Source organism: Homo sapiens, chromosome 9 (assembly GCF_000001405.40).
Source record: "Homo sapiens chromosome 9, GRCh38.p14 Primary Assembly".
Classification (NCBI taxonomy): domain Eukaryota; kingdom Metazoa; phylum Chordata; class Mammalia; order Primates; family Hominidae; genus Homo; species Homo sapiens.
Window position 1 is genome coordinate 37,479,804 of NC_000009.12, and position 25,231 is coordinate 37,505,034.

General features: G+C 46.0%; 1 protein-coding gene and 1 pseudogene across 3 annotated transcripts, besides 3 other annotated features; one reads left to right on the forward strand and one right to left on the reverse strand.

Moving 5' to 3' along the window:
- Window positions 5,610–6,201: an enhancer, noted in NCBI's record as "H3K27ac-H3K4me1 hESC enhancer chr9:37485410-37486001 (GRCh37/hg19 assembly coordinates)". NCBI's record gives its function as "activates a minimal SCP1, AML or CMV promoter by ChIP-STARR-seq in primed H9 embryonic stem cells {active_cell/tissue: H9 hESC(primed)}" and the evidence as "EXISTENCE:reporter gene assay evidence [ECO:0000049][PMID:30033119]".
- Window positions 5,610–6,272: a biological region, named in NCBI's record as "H3K27ac-H3K4me1 hESC enhancer GRCh37_chr9:37485410-37486001".
- Window positions 5,943–6,272: a silencer, noted in NCBI's record as "silent region_19906". NCBI's record gives its function as "represses an Ori minimal core promoter by ATAC-STARR-seq in GM12878 lymphoblastoid cells {active_cell/tissue: GM12878}" and the evidence as "EXISTENCE:reporter gene assay evidence [ECO:0000049][PMID:35858748]".
- On the forward strand, window positions 6,145–23,894 carry POLR1E (RNA polymerase I subunit E). Of its 3 annotated transcripts, NM_001282766.2 has the most exons (13): window positions 6,145–6,320; window positions 6,900–7,003; window positions 8,060–8,136; window positions 9,512–9,597; window positions 12,479–12,572; window positions 12,854–12,912; window positions 13,756–13,900; window positions 15,366–15,473; window positions 16,087–16,183; window positions 18,288–18,421; window positions 21,037–21,118; window positions 21,910–22,041; window positions 23,240–23,894. In NM_001282766.2, exons 4-13 carry the CDS (start codon window positions 9,559–9,561, stop codon window positions 23,397–23,399), a joined length of 1,050 nt encoding a protein of 349 aa, NP_001269695.1. In that variant the 5' UTR covers window positions 6,145–6,320; window positions 6,900–7,003; window positions 8,060–8,136; window positions 9,512–9,558; the 3' UTR covers window positions 23,400–23,894. The 3 variants fall into 3 exon arrangements, with proteins under 3 accessions (NP_001269695.1, NP_071935.1, XP_047279685.1); NM_022490.4 differs by lacking the exon at window positions 12,479–12,572; XM_047423729.1 differs by lacking the exons at window positions 6,145–6,320; window positions 12,479–12,572 and having other exon boundaries at window positions 6,430–7,003.
- On the reverse strand, window positions 10,586–11,130 carry RPL21P83 (ribosomal protein L21 pseudogene 83; annotated as a pseudogene).
- Window positions 23,895–25,231: the final 1,337 nt, after the last annotated feature.

Genomic DNA, 25,231 nt, shown 5'->3' on the forward strand with positions numbered 1-25,231 from the left:
CTTATATTTTTTATTTTTTTAAAAACAAATTTTAGCCCAATTTTCTTGAGTCATTATCTCTCCGCAGCAGCAGAGGAAGGGCCTGTATTCCCTACCAATGGCCTGGTGTCCTTATGTCTACCCCAAGAGCAGGGATATTAGCTGTGTCCAAATGGGTTCTAAATTCTACAGACTCATCAACATGAGGCAAGAAGTCATTGAAAACCACTTTTGTCTCCTTTGGGAGAATGACATATCTTTAGTATTTATGTAGCTTATTCTTCTATATCTACATATGCAAAGCTTTCCTTAACAGTAAAGGGTACATATGCATAGTGGGAGAAGATCAGACCTTTACGAGTGAAGGAAAGCAACTTCAGAAATGAATTATTTTCTTTGCTTTATTATTTTTACCAAGACAGTGAAGTATTGTATGGGGAGATAATCTATTTTCATAATCAATATGTGCCTAAATTATATTTAAATTATTTCACTCTGTACTATATTTTTAGGAATTATAGAATGTGTTATTCATTCACTTAAAGGTACTTCTGTAGAAATAACCTAAAACTGCAGAAGGATCTGAAAGATCTAAACATGTTGTGCTTAGAAACTGCAGATTTTAGATCTAATGTATAAATGATATAAAGTGTTTTAAAAAAAGAATATTTTTAAAAGAACAAGATCATGTCCTTTTCAGGGACATGGATGAAGCTGGAGGCCATTATCCTTAGCAAACTAACACAGGAACAGAAAATGAAATATTGTTCTCACTTATAAGTGGGAGCTAAATGATGAGAACACATGGACACACAGAGGGGAACAACACACACTGGGGCCTATCGAAGGGTGGAGGGTGGGAGGAGAGAGAGGGTCAGGAAAAATAACTAATGGATATTAGGCTTAATATGTGGGTGATGAAATAATCTGTACAACAAACCCCCATGAGATGAGTTTACCTATGTAACAAACCTACACATGTACCCCTGAACTTAAAACAAAAAATAATCTTTTAAAAATGTTCATGTTCAATTCAAATCCTAGAGTTTCATCCAAAATAGCAGGCACAGTGTTTGTTTGTTTGTTTGTTTTCCCTTGGGACAGGGTCTCGCTCTGTTGCCCAGACTGGAGTGCAGTGGTGCAGTCATAGCTCACTGCATCCTTGAACTCCTGGGCTCAAGCAATTGTCTTGCCTAAGCCCCCCAGTAGGTGGGACCACAGGCACATGTACCACACCCAGCTAATATTTTTATTTTTTGTGGAGGCAGAGTCTATGTTGCCCAGGCTGATCCTGAGCTCCCAGCCTGAAGCAATCCGCTCACCTTGGCCTCCCAAAGCGCTGGGTGAAATTTTTTTAAAGGGAGGTACAAAATTGAATACAGTATTATATCAATTATATAAATGTGCATATGCACAGAGAAAAAAACTAGAAAGAAATACAACCAAATTGAATAATTTTTGCCTTTTTGTGGGGAAGATATCATAGATTACTGTAATTTTATTATTAATATGTTTCTGTATTTTCAACATCAAATATGTATTTATTTGATAAGTTTTTTATCTAATACATATTCAGAAAAATTTAAATATATAAACAGGCTGAATCTAACTTGAGTAAATTTAACAGCCCTTAATACAAAGCTCTGAATTTTTGTTTTTCAAAAAAGTTACAAGGATGATATAACTTAGCAGAAGCAAAGCTAAGAACTTTTGTTTATTCTTAACCCCAGTAAGTTAACTGAGCAGTATAGATGTTTACAACAAATGCACAGGGGATGTGATGAATTCTCCTTGTTCTGTGCTACCCAGCCCAGTGCTGAAGTACTGATCTGTATGGGACCCTGAAGGATCCAGATATACTGGCATATGTCTAGCAGAGGTGACCAGGAAGAGGAGGGACCTAGAAACTTTGGTATGTGAGGGATAATTTTGGCTGGGAGAGGAGAGGAACAGATACATGGAAAGCATGATAGACGTCTCCAGGCTTTTGAAGGGCACAGGCAAGAAGAGCTGATTGTGTTCTGCATGACCCCGGAATGAAGAACTGGAGCTATAGGGAGAAGCTACAGAAGGTAGAGTCAGCTCCATGTAAGGAAAAAACCTGTTCAAGGTGAGAAGTCCACCTTTTAAGGAGTGAGTCATCCATGTGTGTAGGTATGCAAAGAGGGTCTGCATCAGGGATATGAAGGAAAGGAATGGGAATGACCAGAGGAGAGAACAAGAGAGTGAGACAAACACAGAGGGAGAAAGGAAGGGAGGAAAAAGAGAAGCAGAGGGACAAGAAAGGAAGAGAAGAGGTGAGACAGAAGAAGCTATTCTCGGCCGGGCGCGGTGGCTCACGCCTGTAATACCAACACTTTGGGAGGCTGAGGCAGGGGATCACGAGGTCAGGAGTTCAAGAGCAGCCCGACCAACATGGTGAAGCCCCATCTCTACTAAAAATACAAAAATTAGCCGGGCATGGTGATGCACGCCTGTAATCCCAGCTACTCAGGAGGCTGAGGCAGGAGAATTGCTTGAATCCGGGAGGCAGAGGTTGCAGTTAGCCGAGATCGCGCCACTACACTCCAGCCTGGGTGACAGAGCGAGACTCTGTCTCCAAAAAAAAAAAAAAAAAAAAAAAAAGAAGCCATTCCCCAGAGTACAGGGCGAGTCACTGCAAACAGTATGGAATCTGACTCGCCTTTTCAGGTCTTTGTTAGTGTTATCCTGAAACACCAGCAGATGGAGATATTACCCCAGGAAAGGAGGACTTTGCTTTTCTCCCTCTCCTTTTGCCCTCTGGAAAACCATTTTCCTTCTCTGAAAAATGATACTAAAAGAGAACTCCAGGTGTCTCTGAATTATTTCCAAACTAAATTTCCAAAAAAAATTATGTGGTAAATTTTGCCTGTGATTATCCACGATTTGAATATAAAAGAGGCCACCTGGCCAGGTGTGGTGGCTCACGCCTGTAATCCCAACACCTAGGGAGGCTGAGGCAGGTGGATCACTTGAGGTCAGGGGTTCGAGACCAGCCTGGCCAACATGGTGAAACCCTGTCTCTAACAAAACTACAAAAATTAGCCGGGCGTGGTGGTGGGCACCTGTAATCCTGGCTACTCAGGAGGCTGAGGCAGGAGAACTGCTTGGACCCAGGAGGCGGAGGTTGCAGTGAGCCCAGATCACACCACTGCACTCCAGCCTGGGCGACAAGAGTGAGACTCCGCCTCAAAAAAATAAATAAATAATTAAATAAAATAAAAAAATAAAAGAGGCCACTATAGGTTTTTGCATTTTGGTTAATGCCTATGTAGGGCTCCCTCCATCCTGCCCCATCCCACCTCCATCCTGCCCCATCCCAGTTACACAGGCACGTATGTATATGTACATGGTGTGTATAGGTGTGTCTTTTGAATAACTGTTAAATAATTAAACAACACAGGGGTATACTATGATCCCCTTCCCAGCTGCCTGACCATCAACACTTTGCTTCCACGGATAGAATCTCCGTCATTTGGAATTCTTGCCTGTGGTAATTCTAGGAGTTTTTGCTTCAGTGGGTGTGTTGTACTCTTCACTCTTTGTCCTCGCTACAAAACAGTCAATCCAGGGGACTTGCACATAATCTGTCTGACTGGCAAATATGTGCCTTAAAGGGGAATCAGTCCGGTATAACAGTGATTCCTAAACTTCAAGTGCACATGAATCACCTGCAGATCCTGTTGCAGAAGATTTGATAGGGTTGGAGATCCTATATTTCTAACAAGTTCCCAGGTGCTGTCGAGGCTGCTGTTTCCATGGACCACACTTTGAGTAACAAGGCCATACAATGTGTTCCTATATCATGAGTAACAAGGCCATATAATGTGTTCCTATATCACAAGATACTTCTCTTAAGAACTATACTTGGCTCATTGTAGCCACTGTTATCTTGGTCACCTTTAACTTTGATTTAACTGTTCATATTTTCATTCAACCAAAAAACATTTATAGAGTCTGTTATGTGTAAACCCTATGCTAGTTGATTTCAACCAATATTACCAAACATCTTTGAGTTCCAGTCCCTGTGCTAGGCTTCCAAGATTAGTGATAATTCAGGCCCATTCTTTGCCCTGTCATTCATTAATTCATTCCATATTTATTGAGGGTCTAGTATGTTCAGGATTTGGAGATAAAGCAGTGATCAAAACAAACATAAATTTGTTTATTAACCTCCAAAGTGTTTATTGTGAACCCCAAGTAAGTTTAGTGAGGAAACAATCAATGGGTGAGACAATCACACAATTAAGCTCTTCTTTCTTCATCCTTCTTTCTTCTTTCTTCTTCTTCCCTTTTCCTTTCCTGAACAATTCAATCCAAAATCATGAGGTGGGGTCAAGCAAGGTAGCCTTCTAAGGGAGGAAAGGCTATGAGAGCTAAATGCAACACATGATTCTTGACAGGACATTTTTGCTATAAAAACATGATTGGGCCAGCTGCAATGGCTCACGCCTGTAATCCCAGAACTTTGGGAGGCCAAGGTGGGAGGATCACTTGAGCCCAGGAGTCTGAGACCAGCCCTGGCAACACAGTGAGACCTAGTCTCTACAAAAAATTTTTTTAATTAAGAAAAAACAAAACAAAACTGAGTGTGGTGGCACACACTTGTATTCCCAGGTTGTGGTGAGAGGATCACTTGAGCCTGGAAGGTCAAGGCTGCAGTGAGCCCTGGTTGCAACACTGCACTCCAGCCTGGGTGACAGAGTGAGACCCTGTCTCAAAAAACAAACTAACAACAAACGTTGGGACAATGGGTGAACTTAAATGGGATGTGAGGATTACATGGTGGTAATGTACCAGTGCTAATTTCCTGATTCTTTTCTGTTTAATTTTTTTTTTTTTTTTTGTCGCCCAGGCTAGAGTGCAGTGGCACCATCACAGCTCACTGCAGCCTCTGCCTCCTAGGCTCAAGCAATCCTCCCACCTCAGCCTCCCGAGTAGCTGGGACGACACGCGTGCGCCACCACACATGGCTAATATTATTTTTTGTAGAGACAGGGTCTTGTTATGTTGCCCAGCCTGGTCTCAAACTCCTGGAATCAAGGGATAGAACTGCCTCTCCCTCCCAAAGTGCTGGGATTGCAGGCGTGAACCACTGCGCCCGGCAATTTGCTGATTCTGATGGCTGTGTTGTTATTTAGGGAATGTCTGTAGGAAATACTATAGTCTTCAGGGTTGAAAGGGTATCAGGTTGACAACTTACTCTAAATGGTTCAGGGCAAAAACATTTCTTGCAGTGTTTCTTTACGTTTGAGATTGGGTAATTAGAAAAGCGTGACAAGTGCTCAGGCAAAGGGGCATGCAGGCTTTAGGGTTATTCCTAGGATCCTGGGTGTTGGAGGCGGGTGTTGAGGGTGTGTGGAAGGAAAAGAGTCTTGAAAGAAGGTGATTTGGAAGACAGAGGGGAGTCAACCGGAGTTCTTGCCCTTCAATAGTACGCATCTTTGGGCAAAGGGGGCCTCGGCCAGCGTCCATGCTTAAAGGCCCTGCTTTCGCCTTCTTTCTGCTCTGAAAACTCCCCGTGCAGAAGAAGGGTTGAATCCGCAGTGAAAAAGGGACATGTCCATCAGCTCGGACTCCCTCTTCTATTCCAGTCCAGAATCTCCTGCCCAAAGGCTCCGGGGTTGGCTGGGCTTCTGTTCCATCACCTCAGTGTTGATTGGGCCACAGGTGTGCACGCCACAGCCCATGGCGGGGAGCTGTTTGTCGGACTGTGGACAAAGTTTGTACCTAGAGCTGGATGTCCACGTGGGTGGGTGGGAAGCCCTAGAGAGGGGCGGCTATTCGCCAGCGGCCACATTTAGTTGGGGCTCAAGCAGTTCCTGTCAGAGAATTCTAAATTTGAACTTGGTCCTTCAGGTCTTGGGAAGATGAGTTTGTCACGGTAGGAGAGAGAGACGACACTCTCTTTAGAAGGTGCTGAGCCGGAAGAAGGCTCATAGCAAGCTTAGGCTGAAGCCTTTGGCGCCTCGGGCTCTGGACCTACAAAACCCAGAGTGCACGCGAGCGCTGAGCCAATCAGGTGCTGCGCCTCGGCCAGTCAAGCGGGTGTGTGGCACCTTGTGGGCGGAGACCACGCCTCTCTACGCGGGGGGCGGGGACACGCGGCTCGCGCGCTGTGGGCGGTGCCCGGCGGGGCCACGCCTTTTCCGGCCCGCAGCGCGGCCTGGGCTCCCGCGTGTTTAAAAGTGCGCTTGTGGCTGCTGCTGTCTTAACTCCTGTGCTTGGCGGACAGACAGGCGAGATGGCGGCGGAGGTGTTGCCGAGTGCGAGGTGGCAGTATTGTGGGGCGCCCGACGGGAGCCAGAGAGCTGTACTGGGTAAAGACTGCGGAGCTGGAGCAGTGCTCCTCTAACCCTCTCCCCTTCCGTCTCGGTACCTCAGCTGTCCTCTCGCCCTCCGTTGGGCTTCTCCCCAGCGGGGCCGGGACCCCTCTAGTCTCCACCACTCCCCTGGGCTCTGTCAGGGCTCCCCTGTCCGTCTTTCTGTCACTACCTCCCAGCCAGATTGGGACATCCCACTCACCCGCTCCCCAGAGCTGTGTCCAGGACCCTGCTGACCCCCTCACCCACCAGGTCTCCCGCCTCCCCCATTTCCCTCTCTTCACTGGGCAGGGGTTCCTTCTGTCACTTTAGGTATGTACCAGGCCTCTGCTGTCAGCCTCCTTCCGCGAGACATTCCCTCCTGTCACAGCCCCTCCCCAGGGTTCTCCCACCTCCCTACCTCCTCTTCTCAGCTGGCCCCGGATCTCCTCCAGTTCCCTTTGGGTCAGGACCCGAGCTTCCTTGCCATCCCCATTCTGACACTCCCTCCCAGTGACAGTCTAGTCCCACCGTACATTGTGTGGTACATTGTGTGGCCTTCTGCTCTCATCTCATTCTTGGGCTGCACTCTTACAGTCCAGTTCTCCAACGGGAAGCTACAGAGTCCAGGCAACATGCGCTTTACCTTGTATGAGAACAAAGATTCCACCAACCCCAGGAAGAGGAATCAACGGATCCTGGTAAGTGAAGCAGTTGCCAGCTGTCTCCACTCTGCAGGGCTCAGAAGGCCCCTGGGAGTGGGTGGATGTGGGAGGGAGTGAGGGGAGAAAAAGGGGAGTAGTAGCAAATGGAGCTTTGAAGAACTCTGATGCCCAGCAGCCTGGGATGTGGGGACAGGCTCCATCTTTCATTCATTTGTTCTTTCAACAAGCATTTATGGAACCTGCCCCTCTGCATCCCTGTGCTGCAAGCTTCTAGGAAAACAGCCAAATCAGGCCTAGCCCCACTCAGAGTTCATACTCTAGAGCAGGGTTTCTCAACCTCAGGACTATTGACTTTTTGGGCCAATAATTCTTTGCTGTGGGGGCAGCATCCCTAGTCTCTACTCATTAGATGCCAGTAGCACCAGAGTGGATTTCCCTGGATTGAGAACCTCTGCTCTAGAGAGATGAGAACTGGCTGTGAGGGACACTTTTACACAAAGCTCTGAGGCCACGTGGGGAAGAGTACAGGGCAGAGTGAGCTCAGTGGGAGGAGAGGTCTCTGCCAGAATGCCTTCCTTGGTGAGGTCATGTTGGAGCTGAGCCTTGAAGGCTGGAATGAGGGTTTGGCAGTCAACGTTTGGTGTTTCGAGTGAAAAGGATAGTGAGGACAAATGCAGAGAAGCAGGAAAGCTTGCTTATGATTGGGGAGTGAATCAGCCATGGTCCTGAGAGTATACAAAGAACAGGCCAAAGAGAGATTGCTTACAGAATCACTTTGTTGCATACCTTTAAGTGCCAGAAGCCCAGGGCCTCTCTCTCAAGTCTTGTGGCAGAATTCCCCCAAGAGCTTTTCATACCATTTAGAAGCTAGCACCATCTGAGGCTTCTCTTCCAGAAGTCGTCTTGCTTCCCCTGCAGGGACACCCCATATTCCCTTAGAGATAGTGGGGCTGGATCATCTGCCAGAGATGAACTAGTTCTAATCCATTGTGAGTCTGGATTCAAAAGCCTCAGCAAATGTAGAAAAGAGAAATGATGCTTAATACCTTTCAACATTGGTTGTAAATGGAGTTTCCCCTCTCTGCATTTTAGGCAGCTGAAACAGATAGGCTCTCCTATGTGGGAAACAATTTTGGGACTGGAGCCCTCAAATGCAACACTTTGTGCAGGTAATGGCAGGGGAAGGGACAGTGGGAAGGGTGATGGGGTTGGGAGTGGTGGCAGCACTGGCACTGCTGTTTCCTGTCTGTTTTAAGGGTAGCAGGAGCCATCTAGAGAGGTTTACTAGGTGATCCCTGTGTTCCTATTAGACCCAGAGCCCTTCCCTGCACGTGTAGACGTTGCTGGAAAGGAAAGATAACTTGAATTTCCTAAAAACCTCATTCATTTGTAATCTTGTTTATTTATAGCTGTCTTATTCCAAAAGGCAGGTCTCTCCATTAATTTGGAATGTGTGACTAGTAGGTCAAAGCTTGCGTGAAGTTTACCTGGGAACTAACGACAGGTAAAGAACTTGGTAGTGTTGAAGGCTCTGGACTGGGAAAGAGGAGCCTGGGATTCCCATCCAGCTGTGCTGCTGATTGACTGAGTGGCTGGGTAACTCTGCGCATCACTGACCCCCAGCCTCCCCCTCTGTACAGTGAAGATTGTCCAGCCTGAACTGTATCACTCTCGGGGGCTGGCATGATGCAGACAGGGCCCTGTGATGGTACCCAACAATGAACTACAAACTAGGCCCTTTCTGAGCCCCGGTGGACCATACTCCAATAGAGGAGAGGTCAGATGGGTGTATAGGTGCTGAGAACTATTAACCCTGCACTCTCCCCTCTCAGAGATGCCCTAGTTCCAATTGGTCTCCTCCCCGTTTACTTGATTTTGCCTCCATAAAACTGTTGTGCCATAAATTGTAGTGTAATTCTAGGTTCGTACACCCCAAAAGAGTTTTCCATTACACTACCGCAGTGAGCCCAAATGTGATCAACTATCAGAATCACCTAGTAGCTTTTTTTTTTTTCCCAGAACCACCTCATATCCTCCCATCCCATCCTATCCTTTCCTATTCCCTCTCTATGCAGAGAATTGCTGTGGGGTAGGGGTAGGGGAGATTATTGTTACCCATGAGTAGATGATGCATTCCTCAGGTGTGTGGGCAGAGAGAAGGTTGAGAACTTTTGAACAGGAAACAGGGCCAGGTGCAGTGGCTCACGCCTGTAATCCCAGCACTTTGGGAGGCTGATAGGGTCAGATCACCTGAGGTCAGGAGTTCGAGACCAGCCTGGACAACATGGTGAAACCCATCTTTATTAAAAATGCAAAAATTAGCCGGGGATGGTGGCGTGCGCCTGTAATCCCAGCTACTCAGCAGGCTGAGACAGGAGAATTGCTTGAACCCGGGAGGTGGAGGTTGCAGTGAGCCGAGATCATGCCACTCCACTCCAGCCTGGGTGACAGCAAGACTCTGTCTCAAAAAAAAAAAAAAGAAAGCTGTACAAATAATGCTTTTGAATAATCCATTGTTATTTGTATTATTTCTTCTTTATTCAGGCACTTTGTGGGAATTTTGAACAAGACCTCTGGCCAAATGGAAGTATATGATGCTGAATTGTTCAACATGCAGCCACTATTTTCAGGTAGGTCCCAGTCATGAAAGCTGACAGAAATAATGCATAGTTTGGGTTTGCTGGATGAGTTGGCTTGAGTTTTAGATTTATAAAACACATTTTATAGTTATTTTAATTTATTTATTCTGTTTTTTCTGCTTTGTCTGTGTTGAGAAAATGGTTTTTTATATACACACTGTTTTTTGTTTTTTGTTTTTTTTGAGATGCAGTCCCACTCTGTCACCCAGGCTAGAGTGCAGTGGTGTGATATTGGCTCGCTGCAACTTCCACCTCCCGGGTTCAAGTGATTCTCCTACCTCAGCCTCCCGAGTAGCTGGGATTACAGGTGCACATCACCACACCCGGCTAATTTTTGTATTTTTAATAGAGACAGCGTTTTACCATGTTGGCCAGGCTGGTCTCAAACTCTTGACCTCAGGTGATCCACCTGCCTCGGCCTCCCAAAGTGCTAGGATTACAGGCGCTAGCCACTGCGCCCGGCCTAGAGTTTTTTATTCAGCACACACTTATTGATAACCTAATGTACCAGGCACCAAGCTGGGGCTGTGGATGTGGCAGTAAGCAAGACAGACACAGATCCTGTCCCCATAGTGTTTAGAGACTTGAGGTCAGAGGTTCATAAAAGCAATCTGAGCAATGATCAGAGCAGAATATTAGAGGACATGTCTGATATAAAATCTTTTCCATAAAAGAACTTCCTTCATTCTTTTTATTTTTATTTTTTATTTTTGTAAATTACTTTATTTCTTCCTTGATCATTTCAAGGGACTATCTTCAAACCAGTACAAATATTTCATACGTAATACCTGGCCATTTTCTAAACAATCGAGGAGTTTGTTGCACAATAAGCTACCTCACGTCTTTCAGCAAGAAATACATTAAATTTGAAGAGTAAAGACATTACATAATGAACTAGGACATAATTAAAATTTGCCTTAAATATTTCTTTGGGGGAGAGAACACCACACTTCTACTCAATGAAGAGAAACATTTTTACAGTCCAGAGGTCTTTCATTTTTTAAACACCTGTCACGCCATGAATTCATAGGGAATAGGTTCCAGCAGCTCAGGCTGCTTCCCATTGGTTCTCACCAAGTGTGCTTCTCTGGGTGGAGCAGGCTGGCGCTTCAGTTGAACCCAGGTACCTTTCTCTTTTGCTTCTGTCTTTTTCTAATCATCTTTCTTCACCCGTTTCATGAAGCTTTCTCGGCTCTTAGAGTGCTTAATGTGCTCAATACGCACACTAATTCTCTTGGCAAGAATCTTGCCCTTGTTTGTTTACAACAATGCCAGCAGCATGCTAAACTGTAGACGCTTCCAGTTTAGCCATGGTAACACTTGAGGGGCATTCCTTTTTGAACAGTACCCATTCCCTTGATGTCTACGATATCACCTTTCTTATAGATTCACATATATGTGGCCAAAGGAACAACTCCATGTTTTCTAAAAGGTCTAGAGAACATATATTGGGTGCCTCTCCTCTTTCCCTTTGTGTTTGTCATTTTGATGAATTACTGCAAGATGGCAGTTCTGGCCGAAAGGGTTCTTTCTTAATTCTTAACTGTTATAGTTGGGGTAAAGAGGTTTTAGAATTTCTGGTAGACAAAGGAAATTGCTTATTAAGTTGTATAGTAACTTTCACGTTGAGGACAAGTCTCTACACTAATTTGAGGAAGATCTATTTTTTTTCCCTAATCCAGTGGAAGAATTTACATTGTTTCTCTGCTTTGTCATCTTAGAATGCTCAGGGCTAGAGTGAGATCTTCCAAAATAATAAATAAAAGGGTCACACTCAAGGGGCTTCTGTTCCTTAAATCTCAGAACTTGAATCCTTAGTGATGCCCTTAAATACTGGGAACCATGGCAGGATAGGGCGATAGACAAGAAAGAAACATTGGGAGCATTGTGAATCTGCCTGATACCTCAGAGGCATTAGTTCCAGTTTTATTCTCTCAAAGCAGTGCTTCCATCCCTTTTGAGAATCTGCTAAGGACCTGGACCTACTTCTGAGAAACATATATGATACACAAATACATATATATGGGATTTTTTTTAATATGGGATTTTATACATAATTTTTTTTTTTTTTTGAGACCCAGTCTCGCTTTGTCACCCAGGCTGGAGTGTAGTGGTGCAATCTGGGCTCACAGAAGACTCTGCCTCCCGGGTTCTAGCGATTTTCCTGCCTCAGCCTCTTGAGTAGCTGGGGTTATAGGTGTGCGCTACCACACTCGGCTAATTTTTGTATTTTTAGTAGAGATGGGGTTTCACCATGTTGGCCAGGCTGGTCTCAAACTCGTGGCCTCAAGTGATTCACCCACCTTGGTCTCTCAAAGTGCTAGTATTACAGGTGTGAGCCACCGTGCCTAGCCAAATTTTACACGTAATTTTAAAGGTCTCTTGAGTCCGGACACCCATCTGTGAATTTCCTAGGTGTCCCCCTGCTTTGCAAACATATATAACTATATTTAAATCATCTTCCAACTGTTCTTGTAAAATCCAGGGAGGCAAGGAAAATTGTAATTTAACGTGTTGATTAAACATATTTTTGTTGTTATATGTAAGAAGTTTGTAAATATGAGTTTATTCTAGGTAGCACACACACAGAGATAACATTTAAGTCCTTACTATATGCTAGTCACTGTTCTAAGCACTTTCCATGCATATACCAACCTTCTGGAGTAAGTACTGTTGTTCTTTTTTTACCAGTGATGAAACTGGCACAGAGGTTAGATGACCTTATCAGGGGTGATGGCTGAGATAACAGGCAAGGCCACTCCAGAGCTTGTACTGTTGTGTACTAAGTTATACTGCCCTTATTTGAGTACTTTGTAGATGATTGGAGAGCATCGGTAAGTACCACATACCTCATGTTTATGCCTGCTTTTAGGTCTTTCACCAAGAAAGCAAAATTATTTTCTGGAAAGAGCCAAGGACTTGTTTTCTAATCCTGTCTCTGCCACTACCTGGTGAACTGACCTGGGGCAAGTAATTTCATCTGTGGGCCTTCTGTTTTTTAATTTCTAAAATGAAGAGGTTGGGCTGGATGACCGCTTGATTTGGCTAATTTATTTTCCAAGTTCTTTAACTGTATACTAAAGCTGCATATTAAATATTCACAGTATACACTCATGTTAGGCTCAGGGAAGTCCTATAGTAAAGAAATCTATTATTCTTAGATAGACAAATGAATATTAAACACTATTACTATTTGTAGGCCTCCCAATTGACTTTTCTTTCTCTCTGTTTTTGTGTGTTTTGATAGATGTATCAGTTGAGAGTGAACTGGCGCTAGAGAGTCAGACCAAAACTTACAGAGAAAAGGTGAGTGTGATAGAATTAAGATGTGGGACCTTAAGCAAGTTCCTTCTACACCTCGGGTTTCTCCATCAGTGAAATGAGCTTGTTGAACTCAAGGGTCTCCCTGGCTGCTCCCCGCTCATTCAGTCTGTTTCTCTGGACAATTAGTTTGTACCTGCAGAAGCCTCCTTGGTCCCACAGAGAACAGTCTGGCTCCCATCTGGGGCAGCTGAACACAGCTCTGTGCCAATGTTTGGAGTCGGTTCTCTGGGCTGATACAAGTGTAGCATAATGCTTGTTTTTAGGATTTAGTCCAAGTTTTAGAATATATTGGTTGTAGCCTGAAAACATTCACGTTAAAACAAAGTAAACTTGGGGATTTTCAATGTAGAAGGTCCCTACAAAGGTCATCTCACCCCAAGATGACAAACTGATTGAATCTTTGGTGCTGTGTGGAGCACTGTATTGAGAAGGGTTGTGAGGCTACTTTTTGCTTCAGGGGGAAGGAGTCAGTGATCTATTAGCCCTGTCTGTTACGGGTGTAAGATGGGAGAATTACCATTCTACTATTCCTGTCTGTTACGGGCATAGGATGGGAGAATGGTAAGCCATGTGCTACAGATTTGCCAGCCCTAATCCTAGTCAAGTCTTTATATCTTACTGATGGAGATGCTGTTGATTGATCAATCTGTTAATATCATTTGGTGCTTACAGCAGTCCTGTGAGGTAAATAGGTGCGATTCAGCCTTATTCACAGGTGAGGTAGTGATCACTCTGGGATGCTGAGAGTATCCCCATAGTGACACAGCTAGGAGGGGCAGCACCTACCTGTCCTGTCCCCAGTAACCAGGTTTATCTCATAAACAGATGGATTCTTGTATTGAAGCCTTTGGTACCACCAAACAGAAGCGAGCTCTGAACACCAGGAGAATGAACAGAGTTGGCAATGAATCTTTGAATCGTGCAGTGGCTAAAGCTGCAGAGACTATCATTGATACGAAGGGTGTGACTGGTAAGAAGTTGGAACTTGGGCTAAGAGTCTGCCCATAATGACAGCTTTCTCTTCTCTTGAGATCTTTTACCCACCCACACATGGAATGCTGGGAGCTAGGGCTGGATTCCTTTCAGCCTCTTGCTGAAGGCCTTCTCACGGACAGGTTCTGGAAGTAGTAAGAAACATCCGACATGGCTTTGTCTTCTAGTGATCCACAGTCAAGTACAGGGACAGGCATGGAATGGATACATGCCTGCCGTGCTTATGGTGCTGGGGTTATGGCCTGCAGGGCACAGAGGAGGGAGAAGGCCTCAGGTCTCTCCTTGTGCGTTGCAGGGAAGCTTTGGTCAAAAAGGCTGATGTGTTGATGGAAATGAGCCTCCAGAGGTGGCATTTCACTTTGGGATCAGTGGCTCTGTTTCCGGTATTCAGCAGCTGGAGTATTTAATTGTATTATTTTAAAATGTATTTATTGTTCAAATACATTATAAGAACATAAGAGCAAGTTTGTGTAAGAGTAGCTTTTCTTTTTACCGATTTTGGAGATGAGGTCTTGCTATGTTGCCCAGGCTGATCTTGAACCCTTGGCTTCAAGCAGTCCTCCCGCCTCAGCCTCCCAGGTAGCTAGGATTATAGGCGCACACCACTGTGCCCTGGGCAGAGCAGTTTTTCTATTAAGAATGAAATTCTAGTAATTTTTGGAAAATCTTTCCATACCCTATGATTATATAGATTTCAACACTTTCACAAATTTATTTATTGATTGATTGGAGATGGGGTCTTGCTCTATCACCCAGACTAGAGTGCAGTGGTGCAGACATGGCTCACTGCAGCCATAACCTCCTGGGCTCAAGTGATCCTCCTACTTCAGCCTCCCAAGTGGCTGGGATCACAGATGTGTGCCACCATGCTCAGCTAATTTTTTTAGTTTTTTGGAGAGACAGGGTCTTGCCATGTTGCCTGGGCTGGTCTCAAACTTCTGGGCTCAAGCCATCCTCCCGCCTTGGCCTTCCAAAATGTTGAGGTTACAGGTGTGAGCCACCACACCTGGCTGCGGAGTTATTCTTGTGGGGCAGTTACAGTGTTATATTCTGAAAGTTTTGTTCCACCTACAATGTGTGGCAAGTTTTTCTAGAAGTTAAGCCATTAAAGGCTATTTTGGACGTCCCTCACTTTTAGTTTCTCTCATTTTATATTGTAAATGTTTATGTATTAGCACAGCTGTCAATCCCAACTCTATTGTAAGTTACCTGAGGGGAATCTTGTCACCTCCACCTTCTCCAGTGCCTAGCTTGTGTTTGTTCATGAGTGAACATGGCAGTCCTGAAGCAGTCAGCCTGATGGGGAGGCGAGGTCACTTTGGCAGAAGCATTTAGACTTGGGGTTTCTGGACCATTGGTGGTCTGAAGTGCACAGACTGAAAAGAATGTTGGGGAACTGGAAACAAACAGGGTGATACATGGATTGTTTCTTTATTGAAAAGCTCTGGTCAGCGATGCTATCCACAATGACTTGCAAGATGACTCCCTCTACCTTCCTCCCTGCTATGATGATGCAGCCAAGCCTGAAGACGTGTATAAATTTGAAGATCGTATCCTTCTTGCAGTAGAAAAGCTGCCTTATTTCACAAGTTGAGATGTTTGCACGTGTGTGCAGTCAGGTTCTCTGAGGGTGTCTGTGTTCTGTGACATTCACAAGAGCTCCATCCAAACCTTTGCAGTTGCTCAGTGCTCTTGCCAGGAGGTTAACTTGGCTTCCTCACTAGCTGAGGGACCGGCCCCTGGGATTCAAATCCATTCCTCAGCAAAATGCCAAATGCCCACAGCTTAGACCTGTGGGGCTCACTCTCCATGGAGAGTCAAAATAAGAGTTGAACCAGCCAAATGCCCAAAGTCTAGGGCAGACCACTTTTGTTGAAGGAAGGGTTGGAGCTTAGAATTTCACCACCCAAGGGGTCCGGTCAGAAGGAAAATGCCTGCAGTGGCTTTGTGATGAGAAAAAGCAGAAAAGCCTGGGCAGGGAATGGGCTCTGGGCTGGGAGTCGGAGAACTGAGTCACCAAGCTCTGCCCCTATGTGATCTGCCCTGTGTGATCTTTGGCTCTCTGAGCCTGTTTCCCTGTCTGTGAAATGCCACTGCTATGAGATGACCTAGCTAGTTGGATGTTTCTATTTTGGTTGGATTATATTCTTGACCTGTAACTAGTTCTTTCCCCTGCGGAGTATGAAGCTCTTCAGAGCCCATCTGAAGCTTTCAGGAACGTCACGTCAGAAGAAATACTGAAGATGATTGAGGAGAACAGGTACCCTGACTTAAGCAGATGGGGATTCTGGGGAGTGCTGTTGGGACCCAACAGTAGTCAGACACTGTGCAGGTCCTCTGGGCGTCAGTCAGTGAGGAAGTGTGTCTGGAGCATTGGACATGAATGAGCCAGTGTTTTCTTGAATGTTTGGGCTTTCAGGAGCTGTGGGTCACATTCGAGGGAGAGGGCTGGTCTCTGAGTCCGTGGGACCTGCGACAGGGCAGAGGGTGGTGAGGCCTTCTACTCTGGGGCTGGGAACTAGAGCTGGCCTGTGTCACCCAGTGTCATGCTGGTGCTGATTGTCACTGGCAGGGCCCAAATGCTGGCCTGGGAATGGGTGCTGGCCAAAGTGATGGTTTCTCTGTGATGATATGGTAGGCAAACTTTTCTAACATTAAATTTATGTATTTAAAATATTGTATATTTTAAATAATTCAGAGATTATTTCCTTCTCCCTCCCCTTTCCCATTAAAACAGCTTCTTTTATGATAGTGAGTTTTTTTTGCTTTTGAGTTTTTTCTTTTAATAATTTTATTTTGATAAAGAGTTGTCAATCTGAGGTTTGTTCCTCCAGTTTTTGTTTTAAAATTTTACTGGTCATTGAAATCCAGTGCCTTGGAATTATTATTATTATTTCTTTTTTTTTTTTTTTTTTTGCTTCAAAGATTTATTTCCAAAAAAGAGCTCATTACTAGTTCATAGTTGTCTTAATGTGATTGTGACTCAGGGGCAGGTGCAGGAACGAACTCTGAGCGGGGAGTCTGAAAACTGAGTCCCCGAACTCTGCCCTTATCTTCCCTTCTTGAAGCCTCAGTTTTTCTATCTGTAAAATGAGGCATCTATGAGATGATCTTGAAGAGCCTTTTTATCTCTGTGAGTCCAGGGTCTTGCTAGCAGTAGAGCAGTGCCTGAAAATAATAGTTAGCATTGACTGAGCCTTAACATTTTTGCCAAGCACTGTTCTAAGAGCTTTACTGGCATCATCTCTTAATCCAGAAAAAATGCTCAGGAGGAGAGTACCTGTACTATCATTGGCCCCAATTTATAGATGGAGAAACCAGGGCACCAGATACCAAGAAACTTGCCCCGCTGGGCACGGTGGCTCACACCTGTAATCCCAGCACTTTGGGAGACTGAGTCGGGCAGATCACCTGAGGTCGGGAGTTCAAGACCAGCGTGACCAACATGGAGAAACCTCATCTCTACTAAAAATACAAAGTTAGCTGGGCGTGGTGGTGCATGCCTGTAATCCCAGCTACTCAGGAGACTGAGGCAGGAGAATCGCTTGAACCCAGGAAGCGGAGGTTGCGGTGAGCCAAGATTGCGCCATTGCACTCCAGCCTGGGCCACAGAGTGAGACTCAGTCTCAAACAAACAAACAAACAAACAAAAAAAGAAACTTGCCTAAACCATTAAATGGCAGAGAAAGGATTGAAACCCAGGCAGGCTGACTACAGAGTCTATGCTCCTGACTATAAAAACAGAGGTCAGAGGTTAGCAAACTACAGCCCACATGCCAAGTCTGGCCTGCTGCCTGTGAGTAAGTAAAGTATAAATAAAGTTTTATTGGAGCACAGCCCTGTTCATTTACGTAAGTAATATCTGTGCCTGCTTTCGCACTACGATGGCAGAGTCAAGTAGTTGCAACAGAGGTTGTATGGCCTCCAAAGCCTAAAATATTTACTGTCTAGCCCTTTATTCATCCCTGCACTGAACCATGTTCTCCTATTATAAGGAGTGTTGAGTGTACTGGCCCTTCATCAGCTGCTTTTGTTCGTTTGTTTTTTTTTGTTTCTGAGACAGGGTCTTGCTCTGTCACCTAGGCTGGAGTACAGTGGCGCAGACAGCTCACTGGAGCCTCGACCTCCTGGGCTCAAGTGATCCTCCCGCCTCAGCCTTCCGAGTAGCTGGGACCACACACATGTGCCACCATGCCGGCTACGTTTTTGTAGAGATGGGGTCTTGCCTTGTTGCCCAGGGTTTCATCAGCTGTTGAGTGCGTCGGGGTGAGAGGCGCCTGCTGTTCTCGTTGTAAGAGGGAAGTAGTTCCTGACAGAGCCCATCTTACCCTGACACAGGCCTCCTTTTCTTTTCCTTGTTTTAGCCATTGCACCTTTGTCATAGAAGCGTTGAAGTCTTTGCCATCAGATGTGGAGAGCCGAGACCGCCAGGCCCGATGCATATGGTTTCTGGATACCCTCATCAAATTTCGAGCTCATAGGGTAGTTAAGCGGAAAAGTAAGTCTATGATAAACATTTTATTCTAATTGTTTCCAGTATATTATTTGTCTGTAATTCTTAGATGAGTTCTGATGAGAGAAGAAAATGGATATGTCTGTCCAAGTCTTTACTGTCAACTGTGAGATTCATTCTGGTACTGCTGACATGTCGAGGGGACTTGCCAGGCCCCTTTTTCTCTCTGGATCTCCCATTTTCTCATCTGAAAATTGGGGCCACGTTGGATTATATGATAGTTCAGGGTCCTTCCAGAGCTAACATTTGCTACTTCTATTCTGCATGAGGCAAAGTAGAATATCCAGGTCAAATAAAAGGAAAACTTTAAGGGACTGTTAGAACAAACATCAGCCACGTGTGTGCGTGTGTGTGTGTATATATAGAGAGAGCTTATGAGTTACACAGATGTATCTTGAAGGCTTGTGGCAGGTTTGTGTTGTGTCAGCTTATTTCTAACAGGAGAGAGTCAATCTGATGGTAACCCAGTGTCACCTGTAGCTAGGATCCTTTGCGGGTCACACCCTCATACCTACCCAGAGTTGGAAACCCAGAAGATGTCTGTGGTTTTAGGCACAAGGTGTATTTAGTTGTTGTTACTGTGATTGGGCATCCAGTAGTCTATACTCCTGTTTTTCAGTATAGTCATGTGTCGCTTAATGATGGGGATATGTTCTGAGAAATGTATCCTTAGGCAATTTTGTCATTGTACAAACATCATAGAGTATATTTACATAAACCTAGATGGTATAGCCTACTACACACCTAGGCTATATGCTATAAGCTGCTGTTCCTAGGCTGCAAACCTATACAGCATGTTACTATACTGAATATTATAGGCAATTGTAACACAATGGTATTTGTATATCTAAATATATCTAAACAGAAAAGGAATAGTAAAACTATGATATTATAATCTTACGGGACTGGCTGGGCATGGTGGGTCATGCCTATATCTCAGCACTTTGAGAGGCCAAGGTGAGAGGATCACTTCAGGGCAGGAGTTTGAGACCAGCCTGGGCAACATACCAAGACACTGTCTCTACACAAAAATAAAAACATTAGCTGGGGTGGTGCACGCCTGTATTCCCAGCTATTTGGGAGGCTGAAGCAGGAAGAGTGTTTGAGCCTAGGAGTTCAAGGTTACAATGAGCTATGATTGCACCACTGCCTCGGTGACAGCAAGACCCTGTGTGAAAAAAATCTTATGGGACCACTGTCACATATGTGGCCTGTCATTGACCAAAACACTGTAATGTGGGACATGACTGTATTTGCTTAGTCATGCTTTTTTTGTTGTTTTTTTGTTTTGTTTTTGTTTTGTTTTTTTTGAGACAGTATCTCGCTCTGTCACCCAGACTGGAGTGCAGTCCCATGATCTTGGCTCACTACAACCTCCATCTCCTGGGTTCAAGCAATTCTGCCTCAGCCTCCCGAGTAGCTGGGATTACAGGCGGGCACCACCACGCCCAGCTAATTTTTGTGTTTTTAGTAGAGACGGGGTTTTTCCATGTTGGCCAGGCTGGTCTCGAACACCTGACCTCAGGTGATCCACCCTCCTTGGCCTCCCACAATGCTGGCTGGGATTACAGGCGTGAGCTACTGCACCCAGCTTGTATTTGCTTAGTTCTTTTTTTTTTTTCTTTTTTTGAGACAGAGTCTCGCTCTGTCGCCCAGGCTGGAGTGCAGTGGCTCGATCTCGGCTCCCTGCAACCTCCACCTACTGGGTTCAAGGGATTCTCCTGCCTCAGCCTCCTGAGTAGCTGGGATTATAGGCGCCCGCCACCACACCCGGCTAATTTTTGTATTTTTAGTAGAGACGGGGTTTCACCATGTTGGTCAGGCTGGTCTCGAACTCCTCACCTCATGATCTGCCTGCCTTGGTCTCCTAAAGTGCTGGGGTTACAAGTGTGAGCCACTATGCCCAGCCAGTTGTTTTTTGTTTTGTTTTGTTTTGTTTTGTTTTGTTTTGTTTTGTTTTTTTGAGATGGAGTCTCACTCTATTGCCCAGGCTAGGGTGCAGTGGCGCAATCTTGGCCCACTGCAACCTCTGCCTCCTGGGTTCAAGCAATTGTCCTGCCTCAGCCTCCCAAGTAGCTGGGATTAGAGGTTTGCGCCACCATACCTGGCTAATTTTTGTGTTTTTAGTAGAGATGGGGTTTCACCATGTTGGTCAGGCTGGTCTTGAACTCCTGACCTCAGGTGTTCTGCCTGCCTCGGCCTCCCAAAGTGTTGGGATTACAGGCGTGAGCCACCGCGCCTGGCCACTTAGTTCTTATTTTCACATTCCAATTCCACCTTTCCCCCTCTCTCCCTGAGCTTTCAGCACAATTTTTGTTTTCTAAGGTCATGTTAACTCTGGGTCCTTAGGCCTCAGGCTGTGTTTTCTTGTCATTGCCCCATCACCAGCATCTCTCGTGCAGGGCAAACTGCAGGCTGCAGCACACCAAGCATGTTTTCATTTTGATGTGGCTGTTCTGCTTTGTGTGGGCCCTGCTTCTCTTACCACCTGGTTCTGGTCATTGCAGTGGCCCAGCTGTTGGCCTTTTCTCTTAGCTCATGGTTGAGGTGTGGCCTGAGGGTTTTGAGAGAAAATGATCAAACTCAACTTTGTGTTGTAGGTGCTCTGGGACCTGGAGTTCCCCACATCATCAACACCAAACTGCTGAAGCACTTTACTTGCTTGACCTACAACAATGGCAGGTCAGGGGGTGGTTGCTGGGATTTTTCTTGTGCAGGAGAAAGTAGGTGGGGGTTGGGAGTGAGGAGCAGGGGCTTGGACTCAATTCCATGTCCACGGAGATGCAGTGCTGAAAAGACTGCTGCCATTTGGAAGGCTCCTGGGGCCCCAGTAAGTTTAGCAAATGCTAAATATGACATACTCTGCCCTTCTTAGAAAAGTATTACCTTTTGGGAACCTTAGAAGCTCTGGGAAGTCCTACAATAAAGACTTGTTTTACTTCACATACTTTTGAATAGCCCTTCCCGATGTCTCACAGAGCTGGTGTTCTGCGGAAAGGCAGCATTGCAGAAAAGGGCAGCCCAACTCGGTGACTCTGGGGAAAGACCCGCAGGCCCTGCCCCTGGGCTTCCTTCCTGCCATTTGCATGGCGTGTGTTTTCTGCTCTTGAGTGTGCTTGGAAGAATCAGCACAGCTGATTTCGGGATGATTGTTTTCCCAGCAGCCCTGCTGGGCAGGCGGGGACAGACTCACAGGGCCCTCACCAGCTCAAAGCGCTAGCAGTGCCCAGGTAGAGTGTAGGCCCAGCTTTCTCTATCTGCCTCAGAGGGAAACATGGACTGGCACACTGCTCCACTGTGTGTGAGGCCCAGGAACCTTGGAAGGGCAAAGTCACCCACATTCCTTTTCCTTTCCTGAAGTTGGGAAGACATTCCGTGCATATGAGAATAGGATTGGATGTTCTTATTTTGCTTTTGGAGAAATTGTCTGAGAGTTTAATTTTGTTTCTCCTTTATTGCCACTGATTTTCTAGATTACGGAACTTAATTTCGGATTCTATGAAGGCGAAGATTACTGCATATGTGATCATACTTGCCTTGCACATACATGACTTCCAAATTGACCTGACAGTGTTACAGAGGGACTTGAAGCTCAGTGAGAAAAGGTGAGCACAACAGAATAAAGAGCTCCCTGCAGGGTGTCTCGATGTCTTATTTCTGGTACCACTGGAAAGCATGAGGCACCACCAAGGGAACTGAGGATGTTTAAATGTGGGAACAACTTGGAACTAAAGGACTATTTTCAATGAATGAATCATTGACTGAATGAGCAACTAGACATTACTGAGTGCCTTCTCTGTGCTAGATAAATTATGTCATTATCTCACTGATTTCCCTAGAAAACAATTGAAGAATCAGGCTCAGAAAAGTACGTAACATTCTCAAGGTTACACAACCAAGAGGGGAGTAGTTGGCCTTGAGACCTGAGCCTTTCCATAACATTCTGTTCTGAATAACCAGGCAGCCTCCATTCTCTGAATTGCTGTCACAGGGGAGAGGGATTCTGTATGGTTCTGAGGAGTGCAGCTCAGGGTGGAAGTTGTAGGACAACCCAATTTGAGCTTAGTAAGAAGAGCTTCCTCACAATCAGATGGAAGGGTTTGCCAGGGGAACCGCTGGTTCCAAGGCCAGGTGGAACTGCTGTTTGGCAGGGATTTTATGTTTGCACTTCTCTGACCCAACTGGGAGAGCTGGTGGTGGAGGTGACCTTTTAGGCTCCATCTAGCCTTGTAGAGGAGATTCAGACAGTAGGGGCAGAGCTGCCCAGGAACCTGAACTGTGAGGTCAGCTGATCTTTGTCAGTGATTTAGGGGCATCTGACATCCAGTGGCCCAGAGGGTGTCTAGGAGAGCCTGTGAACACACCTCTGTCTGGACTCTCTAGCAGTCCGTGGAGGGACTGTTCTGAGGGCTGTCCACAAACTGTGTTCCCACAGGCAGTGAGGCTGAAAAAAAGAGAACAGGTACTTGGAACCTGTCAGATTCTAGCAAGTGCTCAATCCTGGTTGCTAAAAGTTTGGTTATGGGAGGTAAAGAAAGTTGCTCACGGGGCTGTAGATACCCTGGTTTTTCATCACCCATATGGATCTTTTGAAGGGCATTAAAATGAAATTGGCTGTCTGATGGTTCCCAGCGGGTGAGGGGACCTTGCCTGCCTCTCTGCCAGGGGCTTTGTGCCTGCTGGCAACCTTTGGGATTCTGTCTTTATGGCCTGGAGCATGAATGTGCTGCTACCTTTTGCCAAACCTCCCTGAACAGTCATGTTGAGGGGTCTCTCCAGTTCTTCTGTTTATGTCTTCCTTAGGATGATGGAGATAGCCAAAGCCATGAGGCTGAAGATCTCCAAAAGAAGGGTGTCTGTGGCCGCCGGCAGTGAAGAAGATCACAAGCTGGGCACCCTGTCCCTCCCGCTGCCTCCAGCCCAGACCTCAGACCGCCTGGCAAAGCGGAGGAAGATTACCTAGACGCATGCTTTCCAGACAGGGCGTTTTGGCTGCATCACAGCCACTGGCTGGTCCTATTCATTTCCATTTTTATGTATGTTTTGAAAAGAAAAGGTCCGGGGATGGTGGCTCACACCTGAAATCCCAGCACTTTGGGAGGCCGAGGCAGGAAGATCATTGAGCTCAGGAGTTTGAAACCAGTCTGGACAACATAGGGAGACCCCATCTCTACCGGAGGAAAAAAAAAAGAGTCAGGCCTGGTGGTGTGCGCCTGTAATCCCAGCTACTCGGGAGGCTGAGGCAGGACGATTACTTGAGCTTGGGAAATCAAGGTTGCAGTGAGCTATGATTGTGTGGCCACACTCCATCCTGGGTCACAGAGTGAGACCTTGTCTCAAAAAAGTAACATAAGGAAAAAAGAAGCCTTGCTTTAGCACAGGTATGAAGCCAGAAGCCAGCATCTCAACTGTGCTTGTCTTATGCAGAAATATAAAGCGATGGCCAGGTTGGACTTCATCTCTCTCCTTTGGTATTATTGCTGTGATTATAAATGGCAGATGTTTCTCATGTTGGTTCACCTGTGGGGATTTGGGAGGGTGGGTCCTCCCTCCCAAAGTTGACTCACCAGGCTGAGTCAAATCTAATGGATGAAGGTTTCCAAAGAGAAATGTGAAGTGGCGTGCTTAGGTCTGGAAGGGCCAGTGGAGTACGCAGTGAGGAAGGAGGATCTGGCCCAGCACGCCTGGGAAATGACACTTCAGGCTTTATCAGAAGCTAACTGGGTCACCAGTGTGATGGGGGCTGCCACAGGCCAGTAGGATACAGCCTGTTGTAATGGGGTGGAGCCAAGTCAGAGGAAGTGGTGACCCAATTTCTCTGTCTGGTGGAGGCCACATAGAAGGCAGGGGTCAGCTATGAAAGCCACACTTTGAAGAGGATGAATCAGTCAGTGTTCAGTTCAGAAAATCAATTGCTCTAGGTATCTTAAGAAGAATGGATTTTAATGTATGGATAAGGTGCTGTAGAATTGTGACAAGGGCCAGAGGACTGGGAATCGGAAGGTTGCCGTCAGGACTGCTGAATTCAAGAACACACTGCCGGGGTTGCCATCGGGGACTCAGAAGCCACTTCTGCTCCATAACTGCTCCTGGAATTCATGCAGCTGAAGATTCAACACTGGGCTGCTGATTTCAGCTACCCATGCTTTCTTCTTTTTCTTTTTATTTTTTTGAGACAGAGTCTTGCTCTGTAGCCCAGGCTGGAGTGCAGTGGCACGATCTCGCTCACTGCTACCTCCGCCTCCCATGGCCTGGTTCAAGCAATTCTCCTGCCTCAGCCTCCCGAGTAGCTGGGATTACAGGCATGCGCCACCATGCCCAGCTAATTTTTTTGCATTTTTAGTAGAGACAGGGTTTCACTGTGTTGGCCAGGCTGGTCTTGGACTCCTGACCTCATGATCCACCCGCCTTGGCCTCCCAAGGTGCTGGGATTACAGGTGTGAGCCACCGTGCCCAGCCTACCCGTGCTTTCAAAGGTCCTGTATTTCCACCACTTTGTCACCACAGACAGCCAGAAGGTCAAGCAGCTGGCCTCCACCTTGCTTCCTTCTGGTGCGCATATATAGGAGCCTGATTAGCATGTAGAATCCTAGCAGAATGGGAGTCTTTGAAATAGGTTTCAGCTCACCAGCCTCTAGTTACAGGAGGCATTCTAGAAGGACATGAGTGGATTATAACTGCCAACCAATTGTATGTGCCACTGAGGAGATGGAGAAGCTGTGTCCAGAGCGGTGCTATAAGGACAGGAGTGTGACACAGGAAGGCTTAGGTACGTGGCCTGGGCCCAGTCTCACA

Coding starts and splice junctions, on each gene's coding strand:
- POLR1E (XM_047423729.1), top strand. CDS start 6,638: ATGTACCAGGCCTCTGCTGTCAGCCTCCTTCCGCGAGACATTCCCTCC. Junction 15,474..16,086: donor CGTGTATAAATTTGAAGATC/GTATCCTTCTTG, acceptor ACCTGTAACTAG/TTCTTTCCCCTGCGGAGTAT. Junction 16,184..18,287: donor AAGATGATTGAGGAGAACAG/GTACCCTGACTT, acceptor TCCTTGTTTTAG/CCATTGCACCTTTGTCATAG.